At 47.7% G+C, this 27809-nt stretch overlaps 1 protein-coding gene and 1 long non-coding RNA gene across 8 annotated transcripts in view; one reads left to right on the forward strand and one right to left on the reverse strand.

The window, feature by feature from the left end:
• PTPRT (protein tyrosine phosphatase receptor type T) overlaps positions 1-7498 on the reverse strand; it is a 1158017-nt gene extending 1150519 nt beyond the window's left edge. For all 6 annotated transcript variants that reach the window (XM_047439848.1, NM_001394024.1, NM_007050.6 and 3 more), the window contains exon 1: positions 7238-7498. In XM_047439848.1, coding sequence (XP_047295804.1) covers positions 7238-7325 — 88 coding nt within the window. In that variant the 5' untranslated portion in view covers positions 7326-7498. The remainder of the gene's footprint in view (positions 1-7237) is intronic.
• PTPRT-DT (PTPRT divergent transcript) lies at positions 7657-20191 on the forward strand. 2 transcript variants are annotated; one of them, NR_186414.1, is made up of 3 exons: positions 7657-7842; positions 16441-16549; positions 18188-20191. It is a non-coding gene; the product is annotated as a PTPRT divergent transcript (long non-coding RNA). The 2 variants fall into 2 exon arrangements; NR_186413.1 differs by lacking the exon at positions 16441-16549.
• The last annotated feature ends 7618 nt before the right edge of the window (positions 20192-27809 follow it).

Consider the following 27809-nt stretch of genomic DNA (forward strand, 5'->3'; position numbering starts at 1 on the left):
GAGACACAGTCTTGTTCTTTCACCCAGGCAGAAGTACAGTGGCATGATCTCAGTTCCCTGCAACCTCCACCACCTGGGTTCAAGCGATTCTCATCCCTCAGCCACCCAAGTAGCTGGGATTACAGGCACATGCTACCACACCCGGCTAATTTTTGTATTTATAGTAGAGCTGGCATTTCGTCATGTTGACCAGGCTGGTCTTGAACTCCTGGCCTCAAGTGATCCATCCACCTCGGCCTCCCAAAGTGCTAGGATTACAGGCGTGAGCCACCACTCGCCCGGCCGTGGTTTGCAAACATCTTTTAAGAGCAGCGCTTGAACTATTAGCGTGAAGTTCCTCCTGGGTGTTGATGGAAGCCCCCTACAAAGGCAGAGACAAAGCTGGTGCTGAGCTGTTTTCTCCTCTGTTCATCAAACCAAAGGCGCAAAAAAAACAAAACAAAACAAAACAAAAAACGTTGCATCTGCTCCTGATCCAAGGCACTTCTACTCTTCTGTTAAATCTCTACATCCTTAGCTTAATGAGAAAAGAAATGAATGAATGATCTATTCTCTCCCCCACAAATCCATACCCTACCAAAATATTCAGGGTAAAAGTTATTCGTGTCTTTAATTTTAATAGACATTGCCAAATTAGCACTCAGAAAGGCTGTTTCAATTTTCACTACTCAAAAATGAACAAAGCTACCTAATTGCTCAGATCCTTGTCAAGACTTGATAGTCTTAAACTTTTGCATTTTTGCCAAATTGATGAGGGGAAAAAATGCTACTTCATAGATTTAATTCACAGTCTAAAGAGCCTTTCAAAGAGCGAGAGATAATGCTTTGCAAATTGCTAATACAACAAACTATTTTGGAAACTAGCAAGAGATAAGTCATAGTAACGCCATTTCCTTGGTGCCTGTTTTCTGCCGGGGACCAGGCTTGACAATTTACAGGTATTATCTCCAGCTCTTGCAGCAATGAGGCATCAGTAGCCCCATTTTACAGATGCAGAAAAAAAGATGCAGAGCACTGAAGTAACTTATCAAGGCCACATCACAAGTGCATTAGGGAGCTGAGATTTACACATAAGTCTAACTTCACAAAGGCCCGTGGTCAAATAAAAGTTTTAACAGCTTTAGTCCATAAAATTTCATCCATCATCAGGGTACTATTCTATACCTTTTAGGAAATGCAGAGTTACACGACCATCACCACCTTCCAGTTTCCAAGTCAAGAAAGTTAGAGGTTTGCAAACATCTCTTGAGAGCAGCATATAAACTGTTCTCTCAGGCTCGCTTCCTATAAACCCCTGCTCCATGCCCAACCCTAGGCAACAACTGGTCTGCTGTCTGTCTCCATAGATCTGCCTTATCTGTGCATCTCATAAAATATACAGTCTCTTACATCCAGCTTCTTTTGTTTAGCATAATGTTCTCGAGGCCCATCCATGGCGTAGCCTGTATCAGCAGTTCATTCCTTTTTATTCCTAGTCATATTCCCTTGGAGGGATGATGGACATCTGGATTGTTTTCAGGTTTTGGCTTCTGTGAATAATGCTGCTACAAACATTCATGCTCGTGTCTTTCTGTGGACATATGTTTTCATTTCTGTTGGGTAGATTCCTAGAAGTGGAATTGCTGGATTTTATGGGGAGTGTCTGTTTAACTTTTTAAAGAAACTGCCAAACTGTTTACCAAAGTGACTCCACCATTTTTTATTCCCTCCAGCATCAAACAAAAATTGTCAACTGAATATTCAAGAAATGTGAGACTTTGCATCTCTTCCACTTATGCTCCAGGGGACGTGTTTGTGTGTCACACGCACTTTAGCAGCCTGGCTTCAGTGTGAGAAAAAATTAAGTCTGCCACACTGGGGGACTGCTTCAATTTCCAGGTGACTTACCAGTCTGAAGGTGCATCTGATGGGGTTTCTGCACAGCCCTTCCGTGTGGATATACCTAGGAAGGACTAACTGAAATAATGCTCACATTTGAAGATAAAATAGGCCCTAATGGGCCGGGTGCGGTGGCTCACACCTGGAATCCCAGCACTTTGGGAGGTCGAGGCGGGAGGATCACAAGATCGAGGGATTGAGACCATCCTGGCTAACACGGTGAAACTCTGTCTCTACTAAAAATACAAAAATTACCTGGGCATGGTGGCGTGCACCTATGGTCCCAGCTATTCGGGAGGCTGAGGGAGGAGAATTGCTTGAACCCAAGAAATGGAGGTTGCAGTGAGCTGAGATCACGCCACCGTGCTCCAGCCCGGCGACAGAGCAGTGAGACTCTGTCTAAAAAAAAAAACAGGCCCTAATGATCACCATGCCTCACTGACACCTCTTTCCCTGTCCCGCTGTATTGACACATCGATTCCCATTTTTCATGGTTGACTTCTGTTACGTCCCTTTGGAATGTATATCTAGAATCCTCACTGGGTCCCTCTGTATCCTCTTTAGCACCTGCAACTCTTACCAATAGATAATAAATAAATGCCATTATCCTGCTCATTTCTGCCTCTACTGGCAAATAAAAGTGTCCAGCAGGACCATATGAAATGCTGAAACCCATGATCCTAACCGGTCACCCTAACCCACCTGGACACACACACTATTGATGAACCCCTGTCCCTGTGGCTGTATCTGATTTTTGTTAACCCATTGAAAATATGTGGCTTTCTTCCTCTCCATACTAATCTGAATCCATTCTGTAAGATTTCATGAGACACGCTAACTGCTTTCTAATATCTATGTGGTATTGCCTCCTGGACCCAATTCTGTAAGGTGTTTGCAAATGCTATTATACTTGTCCGACATGGTTTGTTCTCAATAATCTCAGAGCTTTTTAATTTATTTATTGGAATGCCATGGCCCTTGTTTGTTTTCTTATTCTTTGCTTGTTTATCAAGTGCACAAAGTATCTTTTTCCCCCACAGCCCCAGAGTGCTGTGCAGTTGATCTCCAGGTTAGGGAAGAGCAGAGGACAGAGCCGAAAAGCAAGGAAGGCTGCACACGGGAGAGTGTAGGAAGGGAAACAGAATGCATCCAAATGTTGTGTCCTGACGCAATATGTAGCCATTTGTGGTTTATCAACACTTCTAAGTCAGAGAGTAAAATATGCCTAAAAGTCAACATTCCCTATTTAAACCCTTGAATGGCCAGATTTACTAGTGTCATCTGTTGGCAAATTTCATTGGCAATCTCTTTGTAAAAGCAGTTGCAGGGAATCAAGCCCCTGAAAAGAGGAAAAGGAGGAAAACTGGGTGGGCATGGTGGCTCACACCTGCAATCCCAGCACTTTGGGAGGCCGAGGTAGGCACATCACCTGAGGTCAGGAGTTCAAGACCAGCTGGCCAACATGGTGAAACCCCGTCTCTATAAAAATACAAAAATTAGTCAGGTATGGTGGCACACACTCATAATCCCAGCTACTTGGGAGGCGGAGGCAGGAGAATTGCTTGAACCCAGGAGGCAGAGGTTGCGGTGAGCCAAGACTGCACCACTGCACTCCAGCCTGGGCAACAGAGTAAGACTGATCTCAAAAAAAAAAAAGGAAACTAAAAATCATCACCAAACCCAGCCATCTCATGGCCAGTTCACTATTTAGCATAAGACTGATGCCCCACCCGCCTTGGCCTGTGCACATACACCTGTGCTGAGGTCAGTAACAGACAAGGCTCCTCTTGGGACAAAGTGCCTATTATGTACCAGGCACTCTTCCATTCACTCTGCATATTGCATCTTATTTGGTTACCACAAAGTCCAGCGAGACAGCTATAATTATCCTCACTTTACAAATGAGAAGCTGGGGAGCTGAGAAGGTAAATGACTTGCCCAAGCCGGCATAGGTAGAAAGAAGCAGAGGCGGGATTTAAACTGAGGACTTCAGATGCCAAAGCTCATACTCTTTTCTCCAAACCAGGCTGCCTCCTGAGTTAAATTCCCCTGCGCCCACCCTCGCCCCCCCATTATAGCTGCCGTGAGACTCTACCATCTCTTCACCATCATCAGTAAATATTTATCAAGGACCACCGCCTACACAGCATTGCTCTTGTTTCCACAGCAACACACTGTCACGGAGTCAGGGGAGTATCCTGTGCTTGAAAGAGTGATGCTGTCATGTCCTCTGATCGTGGCTGTGAAAGGTGACAGCTATACGACTACATGGAATACCATCTCAGCTGGCAGCCTGACACCTTCAAGAGCTGTGCTGAGTACAAGCAAGAAGAAATTAAGTTGAGTAGAAAGAGAGTCGGTTGTAACCCAAGAATATGGTCTGCTTTTACTATGTGTTTGCGATTGTTGCTGGAACAGAATTTAAGCCACGTTTGCACATTAATTGTTCTTTTATTAGGAAACAAATCAAGCAATCCATGACAGAAAGTAAAATTCGACTGTACTGCTAACAGTTCCCCAGAGGTATCCAACGGTGATTATTGAGTTAAATGACTACATTGCTAACAATTGCAATTGCAAGTCAGTCCCCTATAAGATACATTTTTGCTCTCAATATGTGGATTCTGAAACCCACTAGTAAATGAATTCATTATCCCCTTATTCATTTAACTGTCTCTCTCTTCCCCCATCCCAAATCATGTTTTGCCACATTGTTAAGAGGCTGTTTCTAAAGGTTTTTTGTTTGTTTGATTTTTACTATCATTCCTTCCAAAAACCGTCGTGGCTCAAGAAATATGTCTTAGAGTAAGGAAAAAGGAAATTGCCTTTTGATGACAAGCTTCCGCCCCGACTTTTGGACACTGAGACCAACATGTTACAGCAAAACATATTAGCCCAACTATGTTATGGATGTAACCTTATAAATTGAAATTGCTTTCAAGATTGGGAATTTTCAGATCAAAAGAACATGGAAAACACACTACTTAGTTTTAAAATGTATTTGTCCAAACTTGCCAAAAGTTTTAAATAAAATACTTTAAAGGAAATCAAGTTATTGTCATATTTATACTAGATTTGAAATACTAACAATTTCTGAATTTAGGAATAAAATAAGATAAGTCCATTTTTAAGTCAACATTTACAGTATTCTTGTTTTGACAAATACAGATGTTCATGAGGAACCCTGGGGAAAAAAAATCTAATTTAGATGGTCTAGTTGCCGTTAAACTGGAAAGGAGAGGACAGATATATACAGAAAATCCCCATTTCTACAAATGTGTGAGGCTTAGAATGCACCAGTTCTCCAATACAAGCTAATCCCATTCGTTTAAGGAGCCCCTGGCACAAAGGCACCCACTTGCTAAATATATGCTATATCGCAGGTTTGCAGAAACCACCCTGCCCAGGTAGACCCAAAAGAACCACAGATTTCTTCCCAAACCATATTCCAGGATTTCTTTTCTTTCTCCTGCATTCTAAAGAGCAAACAAAGAAAAGGTGCTCGCTCCTCACACTTCTCTAAATGTTTTAACAAAAGGCTGCTGAATAAACACATTACTCATTTAAAAATTGAAAAGAAGTTCTATTCCTGATATGAAAGCAACCAGATTTGCATTTTAATAGTTGTGGGCGAGCGCCACCTGGCGGGAGCATCCGGAACGGGCGGCGTTCAGCACTGGACAGCTTCCCGAGCCGGTACGGGTTTTACCGCTTGCTACCCAAGAACGATTCGAGACCCGTGATGGAATATTTTTGATCCTGTTTCTGCCGCGGGAACGTGAGTGGTATTAATGTGTGGTTGGCCGGTCATGCCTTAGAGGATATAAAATCTGAGTCACGAATCATGCCTGGATCCCCAGGACTGCCCCGGGCATCCTCCCTAGTACCCCTCCCTCCCCTAGCACACCTAACACACCCCCCAAAATGAGGAAAACAAGAATTGTGCACCATCTTTAGAATGGTGCTGTAGCTGTCCCTCTTCTCTCACTTGCTAATCCAACCTTTCAGCTTCACACACCTCAAAAGGAGTGTCTTCGTCACCCAACTTCCCAGCCAGGGAAACAGGCTGTCCCTTCACAGAAGTCGCCTATTCCGCTTCCATTTTAGTACCAAGCAAGGAAGGCTCTAAAGCATTTCCAACGGAATGTCCTTCCAGCGGCCCTTAACCTCAGACGCAGCTTGTGCAAAGACGCTGTACCTCCCCACAGGTTCGTTCTTTTGCTCTTTCTTTCTTCCTTTCCTTCTTTCGGTGAAATAATAAATGGGCACAGCTGTTGCTTAGCGATCCGAAACCAGCCTGTTCCTGCGTCCCACGGGCTGATCTCAGCCTGTCCCCGCAATCCCAGCCACCTCAGGCCGGCGTGGTTACACCAAAAGCAATCGGTGCTAAGAAACTTTAAGGTGATTTTGAACTTGGAAGTACACCTGCAGCACTCCCTTCTCTTCCCTCCGCCGCTACTCTTGGGGGGGGGGGGGCTCGGGGGTGGAAGCTGCCTGCGGTGGGGCTTGGTGATGTGTAAGACCCTGGACTGTGGTGCCCTCCAGCACCCGCCAACGTGCCTTTAGGAGCACGGCAGGCACCACCCCCCCGCCCCCGCTCCCCCTACTCTGGGGAACTACCTCTGCTCACCGCCTTCCCGTGGCCAAACCCAAATATGAGTTCCCCGAACTTTTCAGGAGCGGACGCGCTCACGGGTCAAATCCACTCCCCTCCAAGGGCCTTAACACGGGCGCCCAGCTACCTCGGAGAAAAGCCAGCGGGTAGGGCGGAGGTATTGCTCTCGGTCATCAACGCAAACATCCCCTCGGGTGCCTACAGCGGCCTGCTTAGGGGAGCAGCGTGTTCAGAGCAAATGGAGAGCTTCCTGTATCTCCGAGGAAAAAAGAAAAGCCGCCGCCCCGGCAGCCTCGGCCTGCTGGGGACCTGTCCTCCCCACTAAAAGCGCGCGCTGCCCGAGGAGCTGCCCGGGAGAGAACGCTCCACCCCGGGCGTCGGTGCCGCTCCTCGTCTCGCCGCCCCAAACACTCAAGTGGCAGATTCCGACAAGTGGGAGGCAGCAAGTGGAAATATTCGCAACAACCGCGGAAAGTTACTCCAGCCCGGGGGGCCGGCAGGAAACTGAAGCGGGGAACTTCGCCAAACGCGGGCTGCCGAGGGACGCGAGGGGCCGGGCTCGCTGGCCGGGGCGCGCGGGGACACTGCTTCCCGCGCCTGCAAGCTGAGACCCGGGTTCCGGCCATGGGGACCCGCGCCCCCGCGAGCCCACACAACTTTCTCCTCCGAGGGCCCCGCGGCTGGGGGCCCGCGCGCATCCAGGAGGGAGCGGGGAGCCCAGGGGAGCCGGGCGGGCGCACTCACCTGCGGCGCTCTGAGCCCGGGCGCCGGGCAGTGGCGGCAGCTGCAGCCTCAGGAGCAGGCTGAGGGCGAGCGCGGCGAGGCTCGCCATCCGGGCGGCGGCGGGCAGCTCAGCCCCTTCCCGCGGGGGCCGGGGCCGGGACTGGGGCGGGCGCGGGGTGGCCCCGCATCGCCGGCGCGGCCGCTGGCTGTGCGCGCGGCTGGCTCCGCTCGGGCTCCCGGAGCCGGCGCTCCTGCGTTCCAAGCCGAGGCGCGGCGCGAACTGAGGCGGGAGGCTGGGCGGGGGCGGGACGCGGGGGGCGGGGGGCGGTGTCCCCCGAGTCCTAACGCCGCCGCCGTTGCCGCCGCCGCCGCCGCCGCCGCCCGCCCGGGCGCTCCGCCTCGGCCGTGCACACACCCTCACGCGCACGCCCGCGCCTGGCACACGCCCGCGGCTGGCACACGCGGGCTCCCCCGCGCACCCTCTCCGGGGCCGACCAGCTCGGGCCGCTGGCACAGTCACGCGCGTCCACACATCACCCCCGCACCCACACGCCGGGCAGGGTCCTCGCCTCTTCGCCCCGCGCCGCGCCGCGCAGCCAAGCATCGTCTGCCCTGTGGGGGCGCAGGTACGGGGGCGGTGCGGGGAGGAGGAAGCTGCAGCAGCCGTTTGAACTCGGGGTGGGGAACAGGTGAATGGGGGTTCGGTGGCGAGAAGAGGGAGGGAGGGAGCAGCCCTCGCAACTCAAGATAAGGGGCCAGGTGAATTGCGAAAGCGGGTGGGGGCGTCTGCCCAAAGCTGGGGCAGGCGGCTGCTGGCCAGGGTCTCGGGCACACCCTGAGATGAGAATTTCATCTAAGAGCGCGCGCGCGCACACACACACAACCCACTCACACTCTTCTGGGCGCATCGCTGACCGCGCCACAATCGTCGTCCCCCTCAATTAGCCGCCCACCCCACCTTCTTCTTCACCCACATCTCTCTCTTGTCCCCACCACCACGCGGAAGGGGGCGCAGAAGGGGCATGAGGCATCCCCCCACCCCCTACAATTTTTCCCTGGCAGCCTTCCCTTTCCTTTTCTAGGGAGACAGAACCTTGTAGCTTTTTCCCTTTTCTTCTCGGTCTTAACAAAGACCTGGTTGGGGCTGAAAGCCTAAAACCATAGATCAGGGTTGGAGCTGTCCCTGGCAGCCCACGGCCCACAGCCTGGCTCTCTGCTGTCCTGGGAGGCAGCTGGTACCTGAGTCTTGGCTGGGGGTCTGAGATGTAAAAGCCAGGGGCAGGGATACCCAGAAATGCTTAAGGGATTCACACTTTGTGAACACTTTGCTACCTGGCCAAAGCCCTCCTTCTTCTGTGTCAGCACAGCCCCCCACCCCCATCCTTGTTGGGGTACCAGGGACTGGACTGGGGAGACTGTAAGTGAATTGTGAAAATCAAGCATGGCAGGGTTTCCAAAAGTGGGGAGCCCCAGGCTCTGGACCCAAGTTGGCATGGCAGAGAACACAGGGCGTCACTCTGTCAGTCCCCAGTTCCCAGTCCCCACTAGGTAAAGTGGCCCAGTTCCCTGGCATGGAAGCCCAATTTACAATCCCAGGCAAATTCTTCCACCCCTCTCCGGACCCCGACTCCCACCACCACCACCATGACCGTGACCACTTTCAAAAGCTGACGTGCTTGGACTAGCCTGTTGGACCAGCCAGTGCCTCCCACACTTGCCTGGTCAAAGAACTACCAGGAAGATTTCTCCAAGTCCTGCTTCCCAGACCCCTGCTGGGGAGAGTGGAATTTGGCAGGCCTGTCGGGGGTGGCCTGGGAGTTGAACCTTTTACAAGCTGCTTTGGAGATTAATAATTCTACCAATATTTATGGTGCATTTAATTGTGTGCCTTACTCTGTGCTGTTCTCTGGGGATACCACAATGCTATAGCCCTTAGGGACAATTGGAATGGAAAGATCCCTTCTGCTCAGAGCTGAGCTTCCAGCTGTTTGCTCCATCACTCACTCATTCTAACCCTGCCTTGGGCAGATGAGCAGTTAGGAAGTGTGCGAGGAGAGGCCTGACCCAAGACCACCACAAGCGACCCCAGTCATGGCAGATCCCAGGGGATGACCCGGGTGGGGAGATTTCTAAGCCACTAAAGAGCTTGGTGTCACACTTGTAACTTGTTGCCACTTTCTTGGGCTCCTGCCAATTCATCCCCTCTCTCAAGCTTTCTGGAAAACTATAAAATAGCAGTTCTCACAGCATCCTCAGAGCAACGCCCTTTGGCACCCCCCTGCACTCCTGCTTTAGGGATGTGATATCACTGCAGACAAATCCCCCAGGTCTGAATGGGGTTCATGTGGCCCCGAGGGGAAAAAAAAAATTCAGTAGTCACTGAGCTGGTGGAGTGGGACCTGATCCTGCACCAGGACTTACCTGCCCAGGTGCACCGTGGTCATGAACCGTGACCCTCTGTGCTTTCTAAACCTCCCTCTACTCCGAGAAACTGCCCCCTCTCCTTCAGTAGCACGTGCTGCCACCTGCTGCCCGGCCAGGCTCTGGCACCCACAGCACTGCCACGCTTTTGCACCGGCCAGTCCCTCTGCCTGGAAGCCCTGCACTGTATCATCTCCCTGGGAAACTCACACTAGCCCTTAGGGCTTCCCTTTGGAACTTTGGCCAGCGGGCCCTTCCTGCTCAAGGCATGTTCCCCAGCGCAGGTCACTGTGGTGGTGCTTTTTACATTGTGGAAATGTTGTCTCCTCTTCATGTGTTCTACAAGACTTGAGTTGCCAAAGGGAACCTGGACACTTACCACAGGGCTGCTAGGAGATGGGGGTGTGGGGGTGGAGAGAGAGGGCTGGCACAGGGCTGAAGATGCCTTACACAAAGCTTCCAGCTAGCTGGCTTCTCAGGGGAGGGAACTAATGGAAAGTTACAGCATCATCTCCCACCCTCCTGCACAGGGAGCCCTCTTTCCCCTCTGACCCCATCAGCCCAGGGAGCTGGGACATGACCAAGATTTGCTTGGCTAGGGGCTGGGCCCAGCATTGCATCAGTGCTGAAGGAAGGAGGCAGGGTGAGCTTTGTAAGAGATGGCATTCTGCCCTACAAACTCTTTTAGTTATGCTCAGACAGCAGGCCTCTTATCTTTGGACTGTGTCCTTAACCCCATGAAACCTTTGGCGAGACCTCTCCGTGTGTCAGTTTCCATATCTGCCCAGTGGCTTCCCTTTCAGTTGTGTCAGGGACCAAGACAGGAGTGTCCAGACATTTCAGCTACAGATCTCTCTGTCGAGCAGTTTTAGGGGAAACCTGAAACTTGGGGCATCCTTTCAACAAGTGTGCTGGCCTTTTGATGTGTGTCAGGGATCTTAGGGCTGTGGGTTTGCAGCCTAAACAACAGACATGGTAACTGCCATCATGTAGCTTACAATCTGGTGGAGGAGACTGGACAAAGAGAAAGGGGTAACAACCCCAGAGCTGGTCCCCATCTCCCCAGCCCTGCCTCGCCCCCAGCGGTCAGCCCTCCAGTGGGGAGCAGAGCACCAGGGGGAAGACATCTGCTGGGGCCACGTGCCTTACTAATTAGATTTCCAAACCATGTATCTAGTAGAGTGTATTCTATGTTTAAAGTATCAAATAAAGTCCAGTGAGGAAAGTCTAGTGATGTAGCTATTGTTTGATCCCCATCTTACACATGAGGACACTGAAGCTCAAGAAGGGCAAAGACTCTCCATGTAGGAAGGGCGGGAAGGTTCACTTCCTGTGTTGGGGGTGGCTGCTCCATTGGAGCCTGTCTTCTTGCTGTGGCACAGATAGCCACTAGTCATTTAAAGTTCAAATTTAGCATTTCAGTGCTTGGCCACACCGCATTTCAAGTACTCAGTAGCCACAGGTGGCCAGTGGCTGCTGTATCAGACAGTGCAGATACAGAACATTTCCAACATCATGGAGAATTCTATTAGTGCTGCTCTAAAACAGAGGTCACCAAACCTCTACCACATCTGGCCCACTGCCTGTTTTTATAAATAAAGTTTTATTGTGCCACATCCATGCTTATTCATTTACATACTGCCTATGTCTGCTTTTTGCAGAAAGTTCTACTGGACAGCACTGCTCTAGAGCAGAGGTTAGCAAACTCCACCCATGGGCCAAATCTGGACCACTGCCTATTTTTATAAAGTTTTATCGAAACACAAACCCCTGTATTCATTTACATATTGCCTACGGCCGCTCTCTGAAATATAGCAGCAGAGGTGAGTGATTGTGACAAAGATAGTCTGGCCCACAAAGCTTAAAATATTTACTGTCTTGCCCTTCATAGAAAGTTTGCCAACCCTTTCTTTAGAGGAAGTCTTACAGCACAATTTGACAATTATTGATCTAAAACTCATTCTCAAAGTGTGGTTTCTGAACCAATAGCATCAGCCTCACCTGGGAACGTGTTAGAAATACAAGTTCTTGGGTCCCACCCCAGGCCTGCTGAATCAGAAACGCTGGAGGTGGGGCCTGGGCTCTCATTTCACCAGCCTTCCAGGTGATTCTCATGCATGTTCAAGTTGGAAACCACTGTTCCAAAACACAGAGCAAATGCCAACAAGTGACTGGTACGGTGAGGGTGCGAATGGGCTCCTGTGGGTAACAGAAGAGTTTGGAAAGATGCCAAGAGAGTGATAGCCCATCTGCTGCCTGGTCCCTCAGCAGCAAAACCTTTGACAGCCGTTCCACGGAGGCTGTGCCAACCAGGGGAGGACCCTGTACCAGCCCCCGGCGCCATGCTCAGGCCCCACTGCCATCGGCCCCGCCCTCCCACGGAGTTGTCAGCACATTTGGAGCTGCCTCCACACATAAATTCATGGACCAGCTGTCTCTTTTAATCTGGTTGCAAGATGAAACCATTAATAGATGTCAGACACATTGGCAATGATCTCTTCATTAATAATTTCCTCCTTTCTGAGGAAAAAGATATTAGTAACAAGCCACCATCAATAATTCAAAAATACAAGTTAACCTTTCTATTAGCAGAGTGACTGTGCACACACCGCAGATGCTTTCAGAGCCAGTAGTTCTGGTTTGAGTAATGTTTTGATGGCAGGAATATTAACATGCATTAATGCTGTCTGTCAAGATGTGCAAATATAAATAACCCAAATGCAACTTAGAAATCTTAAGTATTTTCAGGTTTAACCTCATGATCCAACCATTTTTTCTGTTTAAAAAAAAGCATGTAGTATCCAATAATATCACTCCGTTCAAAATCAGGACTTTGTAACGGAATCCATTTCCAGTTTGAGGTCCTTGTGGTTAGAAAGATTTCCCTAAAGCTTTACCGATACTGCCGATTGATAGTTTCTCCCTCCAAAGTTGGATCTGCCTCCTGGGGAAGTAACAGCCGGGATGCCCTTCCAGGTGACCTTCGTTTGGAGATTGGGTGTGCTCCAGGTAAGCATACTCAATTTCTTAAAACCCTTCCCATTCCTCTTCTGATAGATTTTCAGGCCCACGGCACCTGGTTCCTCTTCTCAGCCATGCTCCATTTTGATAACATCCCTCTTCTGGGGAGGCCTTGCACCTGCCTGCATTCTCCACACCTCCATTTACCACCCAAGTGACCACACACTCATCACTTTCCCTCTCCAAATGTGTTTCCCCATCTGTGAAATTGGGTGATTATTCCCACCTCGCTGAGCTGAGTGAGAATTAAGTGAGTTAATGGATGTGAACACGCCTAGTACAGGGCTGGCCCACTCCGTAGCCCATTTCCCTTCCTTTCTTCCCACTTCCAAGTCTTAAATTCACCAGATCACCCCAGCCTTGACTCTAGACCAACTGTCATAGACACCTGGACAGCAACATGGCACGGAAGGCCAGCTGCTTCTTCCCTGGGCCAAAATACCAACACGTGGTCCAGATTGTTGCCAAGTAGACCTCAATGTCTGAGGTGTCCTGGATTTAATGCCAGCACTGCATCTCACCCGAGTGGCATCTGCCAAACAGCTGTTTCTGGTAATTTTTTTAAAAAGCTAAGTGATGGGTGGCAAGTACCCATCACAGGTGTTTTCACTTCTGACTGACACCTGGCCTCATTGCTGGGCAGTGGGGATGTTAAGATAAAGTGATCCCATCTGCAAGGAGGCCACAGTCCGCCCACACTGAGAGGTCACCCAAGCACACTGGGGACAGGGTGGTGTTAGTGTCAGGGGTTGAATAATGGATGTCAAACATGATTGAGATATGGCCCCAGGCTTTACTTCTTGCTTCCAGCAAAGTGGTTTCTCTGATGAAGCAAGCAAAAAGCCACCATTCGTGTAACAGCTTGGTGCCCTGGAATTGAGCACATGCCTTTTCAGAGCACTGAGGTCCCCGCAAGACCTTCAGCCCTGGCCAGGTGCGGTGGCTCATGCCTGTAATCCCAGCACTTTAGGAGGCCGAGGTGGGTGGATCACCTGAGGTCAGGAGATCTAGACCATCCTGGCCAACATGGTGAAACCCCGTCTCTACTAAAAATCCAAAAATTAGCTGGGTGTGGTGACGCATGCCTGTAATCCCAGCTACTCAGGAGGCTGAGGCAAGAGAATTGCTTGAACCAGGGAGTCGGAGGTTGCAGTGAGCCGAGATCGCACCACTGCACTCCAGCCTGGTGGCAGAGCAAGACTCCATCTCAAAAAAAAATAAAATAAAAAGGGCTTCGGCCCTTCTCCTGGTCCCTGACTCCCAACTCAGATTCCAGAATGTTTGTGAACCTGTTGCTTCTCCCCACCTCCCCGCAGCAACCTTAGCTCTGACTTAGCTTCTTACTGCCTGAAGTCTTGTCCCTCCCAACCCCTCCCCACACACAGCAGCCAGAGTGGTTGTTGAAGAAGACAGTCACTCCACAACCTGTTGCTCACCAGCTTAAAACCCTTCACTAATGCCGCCACTGCCCTCAGCATGAAGTCCACAATCCTTACCATAACCAACAAGACTCTCCACTGGCTGGGCCCAGCCTGCCTTTTTTGTTTGTTTGGAGACAGAGTCTTCTCTTTCTTTCACCCAGGCTGGAGTGCAGTGGTGCGATCTCAGCTCATTGCAACCTCCACCTCCTGGGTTCAAGCAATTCTCATGCCTCACCCTCCCAAGTAGCTGGGATTATAGGTGTGTGCCACCACGCCTGGCTAATTTTTGTATTTTTAGTAGAGATGGGGTTTTGCCATGTTGCCCAGGCTAGTCTTGAACTCCTGGCCCCAAGCAATCTCCCTACCTCAGCGTCCGAAAGTGCTGGGATTACAGGTGTGACCACCATGCTCAGCCCAGCCTGCCTTTCTAAGCCCATACCCTCCGTAACTCACCTTAGACCACCCCTCACCAAAGGGAAGTCTTCCCAGGTAGAGAAGAAAAGAAGGGCATTCCAGGTGGCTGGAACAGCCTGGGCAAGTACTCAGAGATCTGAAAGAGTCTGCAAGTTCAAAGAGGCAAAGCTGAGACCTAAGTGCAACGCTCTCTGTTCTCATTTCATTTCCTCCATGCTCCATTTACCCTGTGCTCCAAGCCGCACATGACAACTGTCCATTACCTCCCTCTGGGCCTCGGCCCATGTAGTTTTTTCTCTCTGGAATGCCAAATTCAAAAGCAGCATCCTTCCTTATCCAGGCATCCTTATCCTTATCCTTCAAAGCTCAGCTTTGCGCAGTATCTGTGGGCTAGACTGTAGTGGGCTGGATGAAGAATTAGTGAATTCCATCCTTATTGGAACCATCTGCAGATCTGCCTTCTCCACCAGGGTGACAGCATTGAGGGATGCCAGTACTGTCTTACGCACCCTCACGTCCCCAAAGCCAACCCAGCATGGTATACAGCAAGCACTCAATACATACGGGTTAAGACTAGGGCCAAATTTGCCTGCCAGGGCCATATACATTCTGCATGAGCTGTTATCAAACAGAAGGGACAGTGACCCATTTATTGAGATCTATGGGGAAACCAACTCATGAGCAAGACCCCAGCAAGGCTCTCGGGTGTGCAGGATGAGATGATGGGGTGGTGCTTCCCCACTGTGTCTGGTCCTGAGAACCACCAGGAACTCTTGTTAATAACTCACGTACCCCAGACTGATAAGCCCAATGCTTCAGGGAAGAGCCTGGAAATGTGTCCTTTTTATCAGACTGAATCTCACAAAAGGTCGTAACTTGGTGGTTCTGTCCACGCCAACGCAGAACCTGTCCTCTGGTCAGATTGCCAGAGGCACCTGGCCTGGGGGCTCAAAGTAGTAACAGGGCTGTCCACGGCAGGAAGAAACCACGGTAAAGTCCCCAGAGGCTTTAGTGGCCTGTCTGCCCATGGCACTGAGCCTCTTCTAGTGAGTCCTGAGTCCAAGGAACAGCAGATGCCAACCTCTGAGAAAAAAAGGCACCAAGAGACTTGAAGCAGAAATGATAAAGAACGCCTCATGTTTATAGAAACTTCTGCAAACTTTCTTCAGACCTCTGGTTTACAGAGTTGGCTTAATTAGAATTCTTGGTTCTTAATATACTTTCATGATGTTTTCCTGCATAGCCCTCTCTTATTAATATTATTTACTTAGGTTTGCTACTTTGTGTTATGGCATGTAATTGTTATTTTCATTGATTTATTATATTTTGATAAGCACCTAGAGATCTTCCATAACAACCACTCCCTGATAGTAACAGAATTCTGCTCACTACACTTCATCCCTGCAATGATGTACAAAGAAAATTTGGGCTGGCAAGAGGACCTTCAGGAGAGACCCCAGAGCCCGTTTGTTCCTGGATTTCTGCTGCAGTGGTTCTCAACCCCGCTGCGTATGAGAATCACCTGGGACCCCACCCTCAGCCACTGATTTATTTGAGTAGGCCCCAAGCAACAGTATTTTTAAATCTTCCCCAATTATTTCTATCAAGAGCACTACAAGGACTCCTTAGAGTTCTCCCTACCCCTAGGCAGGTGAAATATAAATCATCTAAGAAGTTTCTGGGGGAACAGCTACACAGAGCTCTACCCACCCGCCCTTATAACCTAATATACTTTCCTAAAGATGCCCCCCCACTTGCTCACCTTAGGGGATCCCTGCACATGGGACCCATTCTACTGAAGAGGGTGTGCTGGGCAAGTGGCGGACATACTTCTCAATGTGGGGCCCGGGACTGCACCTGCACCAGAACTGGGCTGTTTGTTAATTATGTGTGGAGCTGAATCAGCATCTCTGGAGGTTGAGGCTCAGGAATTTGCATTTCTAACAGGCACCCCAGGTGATTCTCAGGCACGCAAGAGTGTTTGAATGGCTGATGCAGTGTCAGGGACAAGGAAAGTTGAGAGCCTCCAGGCACAACTCCAGGGCTGCCAAGCCAGGTCTGTATCTTGCCCATTCTGTGTCTCAGACACCTATAAGGGCTTAAAGGATAAATACTGAGTGGGGAACACATACACTCCTTGTATTTTAGGCAAGACTCTTTTTCTTATGAATGACAGACAGACACCAAACTCAAACAAGCTTAAGTGAAAAGAGGAACGCAGTGGCTTACTTAGCTGAGCACTTCATGAGCACCTTCAGGCAAAGCTGGATCTAGGTACTCGAATGATGGCATCGGGCCTCCTCTCTCTCCCTATCTGTCTGTCTCTGTATCTCAGCTGGGCTTCTCTCTATGGGTAGTCAAAGAAACCGGCCAATGACAGCTCCATACACAGGTCTCACAGCTTACCACCTTCAGTATAAAATGAGACCTTCTGAACACCCCACCACACTGTCCACAAAAACCCAGTAAAGCTATTTATTGGGTGATTTGGTTCACATCCTATTTCCTAAATGAATCAATTTGGCCAGGGATATTGGCAAGGGGAAGGGGTGTCACCATAATTGCCCAGCCTAGGTCTTTTGTCCACCTCTCTGTATTGAGGATGACAGCCATAAATGACAGCTCCATGAAGACTGAATGGAGTGGGGAAGGGGAATATTCTCCAAATAATCTCGGGCAGTCTGGTGGCACTGGTCTAGCTCTCTTAAAAATCCCTTAAATAGGCTGGGCGCGGTGGCTCATGCCTGTAATCCCAGCACTTTGGAAGGCCGAGGTGGGTGGATCATGAGGTCAGGAGATGGAGACCACGGTGAAACCCCGTCTCTACTAAAACTACAAAAAAACTTAGCCGGGCGGTGGCAGGTGCCTGTAGTCCCAGCTACTTGGGAGGGTGAGGCCGGAGAATGGCGTGAACCTGAGAGGTGGAGCTTGCAGTGAGCCGAGATCGCGCCACTGCACTCCAGCCTGGGCGACAGAGCGAGACTCCGTCTCAAAAAAAAAAAAAATAAATAAATCCCTTAAATAAGTGGTCTAGAGACTTAACCAGTCACCTGGGGCCTGCTCTTTCCATATGGCCTCGTCCTCTCCATCTGATGCTTGTTCTAACCCCCCATACCCAGATAGACCCTGTGATTTTTGTTGTTGTTGAGACAGGGTCTGGCTCTGTCGCCTAGGCTGGAGTGCAGTGGTGCGATCTTGGCTCACTACAACCTCCTCCCCCTGGGTTCAAGCGATTCTCGTGCTTCAGTTTCCCGAGTAGCTGGGATTACAGGTACGTACCATGATGCCCGGCTAGTTTTTGTACTTTTAGTAGAGAAGAGGCTTTGCCATGTTGGCCAGGCTGGTCTCAAGCTCCTGGCCTCAAGGGATCCACCCGCCTCAGCCTCCCAAAGTGCTGGGATTACAGGTGTGAGCCACCGTGCATGGCCTAACCCTGTGATTTTTATACAACCTCCTCCTCTGTACCAAAGCATGTTACCCTCAAAATGTTTTCAACCAGCCAGTTAGTCTATCGCCAATCTAGTGAAACTGAACTGTACTTACTCTGAGCCATGCATGCAACTAAAAGCCTATGTGCATTATCCACCCCACAACTCTCTTATTATTCCCCACTTACAGGAGAAGAAACTGAGGCACAAGGAGGTTTGTTGATTTGGGACTGATTTGGTTTTAAGTTTTGTTTTCTTCTCCACAGCTCCTGGACTTTTTAAAATTCCTGGAATTGTGTCTCTCTATCATGGGGCTGGTACTATTACCATACGTTTCAGAAAACAGCATCTGTTTACAAAGCGTTTTATTATACAACACAGAAATACATTTCACCCCAAATGATAACAGTGAACTTCAGCCCCCAGAATCTCCTTCTCCCCTTCGTGAAACAGAGCTGGGATGATGGCAGAGGACTCCAGAACGCACTGAGATTGTTCCTTGGCGTGACAAATGGCAAAGGACTCTAGAACGCACAGAGATTGTTCCTTGGTGTGACGGGCCAGACAGCACACCTTTCTTCAAGCCATTCTCACATCAAATAAAACGTTGATAAATCATTGTTTCTCTAAGCTTGAAAAATGCTACTAACTCAAGACAAGGTGAAAGTGAGTTTGTTGAAATCAACGTGAAGGATCGAGGGTACCAACTTGGAATGTAAAACCATAGAAAATACCATCTGGGAACACGGAAATCATCTGTCTTATCTGGAAGCCTGTCTCCAGAGTGGCAAACTTAGGGACTGGTTTGAGGACAGAGTGTGCCCTGTGTGCTGGGGAGGGGTGTAAAGGACTGGGATGGAGGAGGGGGGGCTCCAGATGTTCTTTTACCCATAAATACACTGTACATCACCGTCTGCCACTGAAGCTTAAGGATTGAAAACCTTGGGGATGTTTCACTGGTTTTGCTTCCGCCTCTGCAATGTTTGAACTTGCATTTTCTGAGCCACGTATGCAACTAAAAGCCTTACATGCATTACCCACCCTTCACCTCTCTTACTAGTCCTATTTACAGGTGAGAAAACTGAGGCACAAGGAGTTTTGCTGATTCGGGATTGTTACGGGTTTTAGGTTTTGTTTTCCTCCTGACAGCTCCTGGACTTTTTAAAATTCCTGTAATTGTGTCTCCCAATCATGGGCCAGGAATATGAGAATCAGCTGTGAACTTCGAGCCTGTCCATCTCAAAACTCTTCATCTCCAAGACATTTCAATAGAGCTTTGCCAGTAAACAAAAATAAATACGGTTCGGTTTACCCAGAGGCCAAATCCCTTGTAATAAGTTCTGGGCCAGTTTCTTCCCAGAGCGGGAGAATATACAGTTGTAGTTTGAGTTGATTTTATTTCTTTGAGGCTTTGTTTTTCTAGTCTTTCAGGCCTTAACCTCACTCCCTCAGGAACAGCTGAAATATGAGAAGAGATCATATGGCCCCCAAAAAGTCCCCAGATTAACCAAGATTGATGCCACCCAGGGCCCAGTTGGGGTCAACACCCTGTGTCAGGTGCGCTCTCTGTATAATTCCTGTTTCCTGTGAGAAGAGCATTAAAGGCCCGTTAATGTTTTAAAATGAAATGCAACCTCTTAATAATCAGGTTTCTCCACTCTGCTAGGATTCCAAAAAAAAAAATCAGCAACTGACAAATGTTAAAAATTTCCTCGCTGCTAATCATGCTTTCCCCCGCTTCCCTTTCTTTCCCCCTCTCTTCTAACATGAATTTATTTTCTATTTGAAAGCCAATCTCACTGGTTATTAGATATTCTCCCTGCTGTCACTATCAGTAAATTATTAAACAGCTGACCAAGCTTTGTTTTAAAATGATTCTCTTATGAAGCTCAGTGATATATTTGCTATGAATACTGAATGGTGCCGCGGTCTCTAAGGTCACGTGAATGATTCCTATTTACTACCTTTAGCAAAATGTGTGTGCAATTAGCGGCAAGAACTTGACTTGAATCACAGTTACTAGGGATGCCTGTAGCTCATTTACATGGAGCTCCCTTTACTCATTACACTCCTGCCCAGGAGAAGCGTGTTAAGATTCTAGGCCAGGTCACGAAATAGCATATAGACTTGTCTTTTGTCATTCCTCACCTCCTTTCTTGTCTTGCCACTGCTGAGCCTTGACATACCTGTGGGAATCCTTTGTTTCATGGAGCAGCGGGTTCTAAGTGAATTTTTGCTTAAAGAAAATAAACGTGATTGAGAGAAAATTACTTACCTGTCTGTGTCTCTGCGTCTCATCTATAAAATGGTCGTCATAATTTCTACCTCACGGATTCTATAATGAGAACAAAGTGCTGAGCACAGTGCCTAGCATCGGGTAAATATTTGGGAGGTGATGGGTACTTATTCTCCTGTTGACTGCTGCATTAGTCCAAACTCTCAGTTGTAAGTGACAGAGACCTATCTCCAATTCACCTGAGCCAAAGAGGAAACACAGTGGCTTCCCTAATCAAACAGTGGTTGAACAGTCAAGGTCTAACTTGGAAAACAGAAACTGCTTCAAGTATTTGCAACAGAGGGGATTTAATGCAGGAAACTGGCTACACAGATGATGAGAGAGCTGGGAGACCAGGAAGGGAGAGGAAGGTAACGCACAAATACACGAGCGCAAGAAGCTACTGCCAGGCCGAAGATGGATGGATACAGGTGCTGGAAGCCTAGGAGTACATGAATGCATGGAAGCTGGAACGCTGACAGATGTGTTCAGGGGAAGCTGAGGCCAAGGAGGATACTCCTTTGCTGCTGGAGAAATTGCCTAACGCAGAGAAAGAGGAGGAGAAATTCCCTTGCTTCTCCTTTTCCCCTGCCTCCAGCATCCAATCAGCATCTTCCATTGGCCAAACCACTGGAAGCCAGCTGAAACAAGAGTCTGGGAAAATGAAGCCACCAGGGATCAGCCTCTCTGATTACAGAGCAGAGCAAGGAAAGGAAAGGCAAGGCATGAATCTGAAGGCAAAAAGGCTCAGGACCAGCCCGGATGGGAAGGGAAGTGTATGGCCAGCCTTAGATGCCAGTCAACCTTCACGAGGACTCTGCCTCTACCTCCTTTCTCTCAGTTCTTCAGCATTCTTCTCCCAGCACTGTTTGCCAATGGCAGAGAGCATGACTGAGGGTGTGCTCATATCCTCCTAATTCCATGTTCAGAGAAAACAGGAAGCTTTTCTCCCAGCACCAATTTGAAGAATCCTGATTGGTCACATGCCCATCCCTTGAACCAATGACTGTGGTTGAGTAATGAAATACTATGACTTGTTTAACTTGAGTCATGTGCTCATCCCTGTTGGCAGAGAGGCTAGATTTGATCTGAGAGTCAGGGGGAAGGGTGCAGAAAAACAAGAGATACCCCCAAATTAGAGTAGGACTATTCTCTCAGTGGACTAAGTCGGAAAGTTTTAAGAGTGCAATGGTCATTAGTCCCGTTCACTGAATATTTCTAATTTTCCTTCCAGAGACAGAGTAGGATGACATTTTTCTATCTCCTTAGAATTAAGTGTGACAAGGTGACTTGCTTTTGCCAAGAAAATGTGAGCAGAAGTGATCCATGTTGCTTCTAGGTGGAAGCCTTTTAAGCAGTAATATGCCATCTTCTCTTTGCTTTTGATACAGCGATTGGCAATGTTGTAGATAGTGGCTGTTCCAGCAGCCTCAGTCCCAGAATGAGAAGACATGGAGCAGAGCTTCCTACCGGTCCATAATGGGCATGTAGTGTGTGCCATAAACAAGCCTTTGTGTTTTAAGCCACCGCAATTTGCGGGTTGTGTATTACAGCAGTGTAACCTGAACTATCCTGACTGGGTCTATAAGAAAAGTACTCAAAGCAGTGATTCTTCTGAGCTTTGTACCAGGGGCAGCTGCCCATCAAAACAATGCTGGACACTAGCCTCAAACAACCAAAAATGTTAATAGAGGACAGTGAAAGAAACTGGATAGTACTTGATGTTCTTGGAATCACCAACTACTGCCACCCTTCCTCCTCTCCCTCATACCAGTCAACATATTTGCCCAGCTGGAAAATGATGGCTGTAATAAAAACTACCATTTATTGATCATGTGCCATATGCCACACACTGCATAAAGCATCTACTGGCATACTATCTTGACAACAGGTATGTGCAATAGACCCATATTTCAGATGTGAAAACCAAGGCTCACAGCAGCAATCTAACATCCCAAAGTCACAGAGCTGGTTGAGCTGGAATTCATCCTTTAGATTGTCTGACTTCAGAGTATGTGTTCTTTTTTTTATTCATTGGTTTAAAACAACAAAATTGCTCTCTTATCATGTAAAGTCTGCCATGGTTTGCACAATTTTTCAAGGGAGCATTCCATGACTGCACCACACCTCCCAATCAATAGATGCATCCTCACTTGCACAGGCAGAAGAAGAGGAAGTTGTAGAACTGTGCATCTGCTTTTAAATGCATTTGCTCACATTTTGTTGGTCAAACCAGTCACATGGGCACACCTAGTTTCCAGGTGGCAGGAAAGCATAATCCTATCAGATGCCTGAAAGGGGGAAGTAAAAAATATTGGTGAACAATACCAATGGCTAACATTCTGAGTCAGAGTATGTATGTTCTTAACCTATAAAATAATGTCTCCTTTATACACTCATATGAATATCCCCCTGTCTGAAACAATCTGTTCCTATTTGATTATACCTGCATTGTCATTCCTTCCTAGATGCTATGATCATTCCTGTCCTTGGTCATAAAAGATTTAAGAGACCTGATTGAGTAGTATTGGTGACTTGCTATCAAATCACTCTAATTGCTGGCTCCATGAAGGCCTTGACTCTGGCTCTGAAGACAACACTTTTGTCTTGACCCTTCTGACCAAGCTCTTTTTTTGTTCTCTAGATCTAAAAATAGGATCCCACCTTATACCCTTGTGTCTGAGCCCCTGCTTAATATTGTGCCGTAATGCCAAGCCCTCCAAGATGGGAGACTTGCTTTCACTGGTATTCCAGGGCTCGTTTCCTGGCACAGAGCACTAGTTTTGGTTTGGCATTTCTACCTCCTACCAGGCCTCCTTGTAGTGACTACTGACCTTATTCTGTAGTTGGCTACTAGGTTATGTCTGGAACACCCCACCCCAGCTGGTCTGCTTCAACTGTAGCTAGTTTAGTCCCTCCCACAGTTAAGCAAACTTTACCTCTGATGGAATTCTTGCAACTGATGAGAATGTTACCCATACTTATCTTAACATATATAGTTTGATCATCTGTCATGTGCCAAAGTCAGACTATGTACTAGATATAAATTAGTGAAGAAAATAGATACTCTCATTGCTTTAAGGAGCTTACTTTCTAATGAGAAGACAAACACAAGACAGATAATTACAACAGAGCATGCTGTACACTGTTATAGAAGTTTCTAAATTGTCCTGTTTCTACACTCACAGCTCCAAGAACACTGCTTTCCTGCCCCTCCTCTTTCCTGAGTGTATATTATTAATATATGCCTATAGAGCTGGATTGCAGTACTACATTTCACCAATATGTGCCGCCACCTAACACACGCTGTGCCCAAGCCCAAAAGTAAGCTTCTTTTATTTAATTGTTAAACCTTGGCACCGGAAACCAACTGAGAGTTGATGAGGCTTGACCAGGGCATCAGTTGTTGAGACAAAGAGAAAGAGAAAAAAAGAAGGAGTCAAGAAATATTTAAGAGGTAGAAACAACAGGATGTGAGGACGAGAGAGGGGAAGGAGACCAGTTAAGGAAGACGCAGACTTCCTGAAAACTATGTAGTTAATACAAACAAGGAAGGGTTTAAGGAAGCCCACATCAAATGCTGAGCCACAGTTTCAGTTATTAGCTTTAGCTGATGAGTTTGGTGTTTCAACCATAAAAGTATTTTGGTAATAAACCATCTCTTATTTAAATGACAGTGACTAAGATTGTCTTTAGCAAACTCATAACTAGAAGCCATCAATCCACTAAGTCCCACAGCAGGATCTGATCCCCTTGCAGCTGGCAGGAGGTTAGAGGAAATCCCCCATGAATGTCCCTGAACACATATGATTGCTGTATTAGGCCGTTCTCACACTGCTATAAAGAAATACCTGAGACTGGGTAATTTATAAAGAAAAGGGGTTTAATTGGCTTACGGTTCCACAGGCTGTACAGGGAGCATGATGCTGGCCATTTGCTTGGCTTCTGAGGAGTCCTCAGGAAACTTACAATCATGGCAGAAAGTGGAGGGGAAGCCAGCTCGTCTTACATGGCTGGAGCAGGAAAGAGAGTGGGGAGGTACTACACACTTTTAAACACCCAGATCTCGTGAGAATGCTATCATCAGAACAACACCAAAAGGGTGGTGCTAAACCATCCATGAAGGATCCACCCCAATGATCCAATCACCTCTCACCATGCCCCATGTCCAACATTGGGGATTACAATTGAACATGAGATTTGGGTGGGGACACAGACCCAAACCATATCAATCACCTACTGGATGCTATATCATTATCTCACTAATTGTTTCCAGTTCTGAAAGCATGCATTACAATCCCCATTTCATGGAGAAGAAAGTAGAAGAGTGATAAATTTGCGGGACTCTTCTATGCTGGAAATAAAACTATGCCTCAAAGAACTCATAACCTTTCAACTGCATTGTATTTCCTAGAAATGTCCACCAGATTTCTGTAAAGCACCCTGAATCCAGCTTGAAGTTGTCAGCCTTTGGCACCTAGAACTGTTTTTTTAAATACCATTCATTGGAAGATATAACAAAGAAATGGCAGAGCCCCAGGAACAGAACCTTATATCTTAGGGCCCAACACCTGATGTCAGCTGAGTCAAGAAGGACCAGGTGGTAACTTGAGAAAAGCAAGTGCTGCCATTCACTTTGATCCCACAGGCGTTTACTTATTGAAAAGTGGATGTTGAATTTGGAAGCCAGGCTCAGAAAGGCCCAAGTGCAGAATCTGGTTCCAATAAGTCAATTTAATATTTTAATTAATCATCACATTTTCCAACAGGCTCTGAAAGCAAAGAAAGAGATACGCTTTATCTATTCCTTAGAATGAGAGGAGGTTCTATGGAGATGGCAGAGTTAAGAGTTGGTGCTATTCATCTTCAAAGGGACTCGCTAACATAACAAACACTTCTTTCTCAACTTCTGAATCCATGAAGCCTCAAATGGAAATACTTTCTATCTGTTGGAAAAGCATTCCAGTCAACGGAATCAGTCTCTTGACAAGGCAGTAATTACTGGAGCAATTTTAGCAGGTACAAAGGCATTTTTAGTAGTTTTAATTATTCAAGGGCCTGATTAATTATCTAGTCTGTAGATCAGAGGCCAAGGGGGGGATAAAACTTATGAAAATGGTTACCATGACAGGATAAAGGGAGAATTCAGCCGCCTTCAAACAGAAAGCTGCTCTCTGTGACTTTGCAGTTACATGTTTGTAACCTGCAGTGCTCACAGAGGATGGACCACTGGACTGGGCGCTTATAGTCCTGGGTTCCAGGCCTGGCTCCACCGCCGATCTGCTACATCCTTGCCTTATTCACTTTCCCCTATCAGGACTCTAAAATTAGTAGGTTCGGGGGCGGGGAAGGTATAGGGAATACAATAGATGGTCTCTGGACCTCTGTCAAGTGTGCTACATTCTATAGTTCCATAGGGCTTTTTTAAAAGTATAGATTCTATTGAAATTTTTTCTGTGGACAATGAAAATCCAGGGAAAGTTTATAAGCACGTAAGGGCTTTGATCATATTTTGAGTTAGGAAGACAGCCACCATGTAGGGCAGATCAACATGGGGAGAGACTGGTAAAAGGTGACATGAGCCATGTCTGACATGAGTATGTTTTTACCTGAATGTCTGCTTTTGGGCAGAACAAAGGCCACCCCCGTTTATGGAGCCTTTCACCTCCACCTGTGGCCCCATGTGAGGTACTGCGGAGACACAGGCTCTGCCTTCAGGGAGTTTGCCAGAGCAAGGATGCCTTGCTCAGACGGTAGCCCACTGATGGGTCTATCTGGAGAATGATGTCAGAATATTCTGGAAGCAGAGACATTGTCCACTTTCACTGACATGGCAAGTCAGACCTGGAGCCTCTCTGTATGAACCTTCTCTGCAGATGCAGTGATGAAACCACCTCACAAACACGCCTAAGCCCTGTGTGGGCCCGATGGCTTCCCTTATGGAGTAATTGCCTTACCTCCAACATCACTCCTGACATGCATGCCTAGCTTTTATCCAGGCTCAAGTGGTAGGGATTCCATGTATGTTTCTCATATGAGACATTTTCAGTCAACGTTGGGACAGTTGACAAAGCGCTTTCCAATTTGTTCTCTTGGTTCCTCCAGCGACCCACAGTGAGTTCCTTCTGGACTCCATCTCCTAGAGTGCAGCACAGAGGTTAAGAGGAAGACTATCTGGTTCAAATCACCACTTTGCCATTCCCTGGCTGTGTGACCTTGGACAAGTTACATAACCTTTTTGTGCCTCCGTTTTCCTATATGTAAAAAATGTACTGTTATAAAGATTAAAGTGGAGTGCCTTATAATAGACTGATGAACGTTCGTGCCCCTCAAAATTCATATGTTGAAACCCTAATCCAATTATGATGCTATTTGGCACTGGGGTTTGGAGGAGGTAATTCAGTCATGAGGGTGGAGTCCTCTTGAATGGGATTAGTGCCTTTATGAGAAGAGATCAAAAAGCTAGCGAGGTCTCTTTCCACCATGTGAAGATGCAAGAAGTTAGCAATCTGCAACCCGGAAGAGGGCCCTCACCAGAAGCCAACCATGCTGGGACACTGGTCTTCCAGCCTACATAAATGTGACAAATAAATTTCTGTTATTTCTAAGCCATTCAGTCTCTGGTGCTTTGTTATAGCAGCCAGAATAACTAAGACATGTCCGTACAGAGTACATGTACTGTAAATGAGAGATAAGTAAATAACAATGTACCTTTGTGCAGTTTTCTCTGAGTCTATAAGATTCAGTCACCCCATTACTAAAATGGGACAGTAATCCTTATGCACTTATTTTACAAATGTTATTTACTTAACAAATATTTACTGTGCTCCTATTAAGTGCCAGTCACTGCCGTGGGAGCTGGAGATACCACACTAAATAAAATGAGGTCTTTGTCTTTGTAGAGTTTGCTTTATTGTAGGTGCAGGGAGCAGGCAGGACAATCAAATAAATGTGCGATATGGAAAAATAGAAAGCAGATGGATGTGGTGGTGTGTGTGTTTTAAGATATAGTGGTCAGGGGCCCAGTGCGGTGGCTCACACCTGTAATCCTAGCACTTTGGGAGGCCGAGGCGGGCGGATCACCTAAGGTCAGGAGTTCAAGACCAGCCTGGCCAATATGGTGAAACCCTGTCTCTGCTAAAAATACAAAAACTAGCTGGGCATAGCAGCGCTTGCCTGTAATCCCAGCTACTCGGGAGGCTGAGGCAGAAGAATTGCTTGCACCTGGGAGGTGGAGGTTGCAGTGAGCCAAGATTGTACCACTGCACTCCAGCCTGCGCAACAGAGCAAGACTCCACCTCAAAAAAAAAAAAAGATATAGAGGTCAGGGAAGGCTTTTCTGAGGGGATGGCATTTGAGCAGTGATATGAATCAACTGAGCAAGTGATTTGGAGGCAAAGAGTGGATTCCAGTCATAGGGAAGGGCTGGTGAAAAAGGCCTGAGGCAGGACCATGCATGACATGTGCAAGGAACAGCTGAGGCCACTGTGGCCAAAGTACAGCAGGAGAGGAGAAAGTGGTAGGTGAGATCCCAGGGGGAGACTCGAGGCCTAGAGCACACAGAGTCTCACAGGCCAGGTCAGGACATAGAGAGTATCCTAATGTTGATACTC

Source organism: Homo sapiens, chromosome 20 (assembly GCF_000001405.40).
Source record: "Homo sapiens chromosome 20, GRCh38.p14 Primary Assembly".
NCBI lineage: Eukaryota > Metazoa > Chordata > Mammalia > Primates > Hominidae > Homo > Homo sapiens.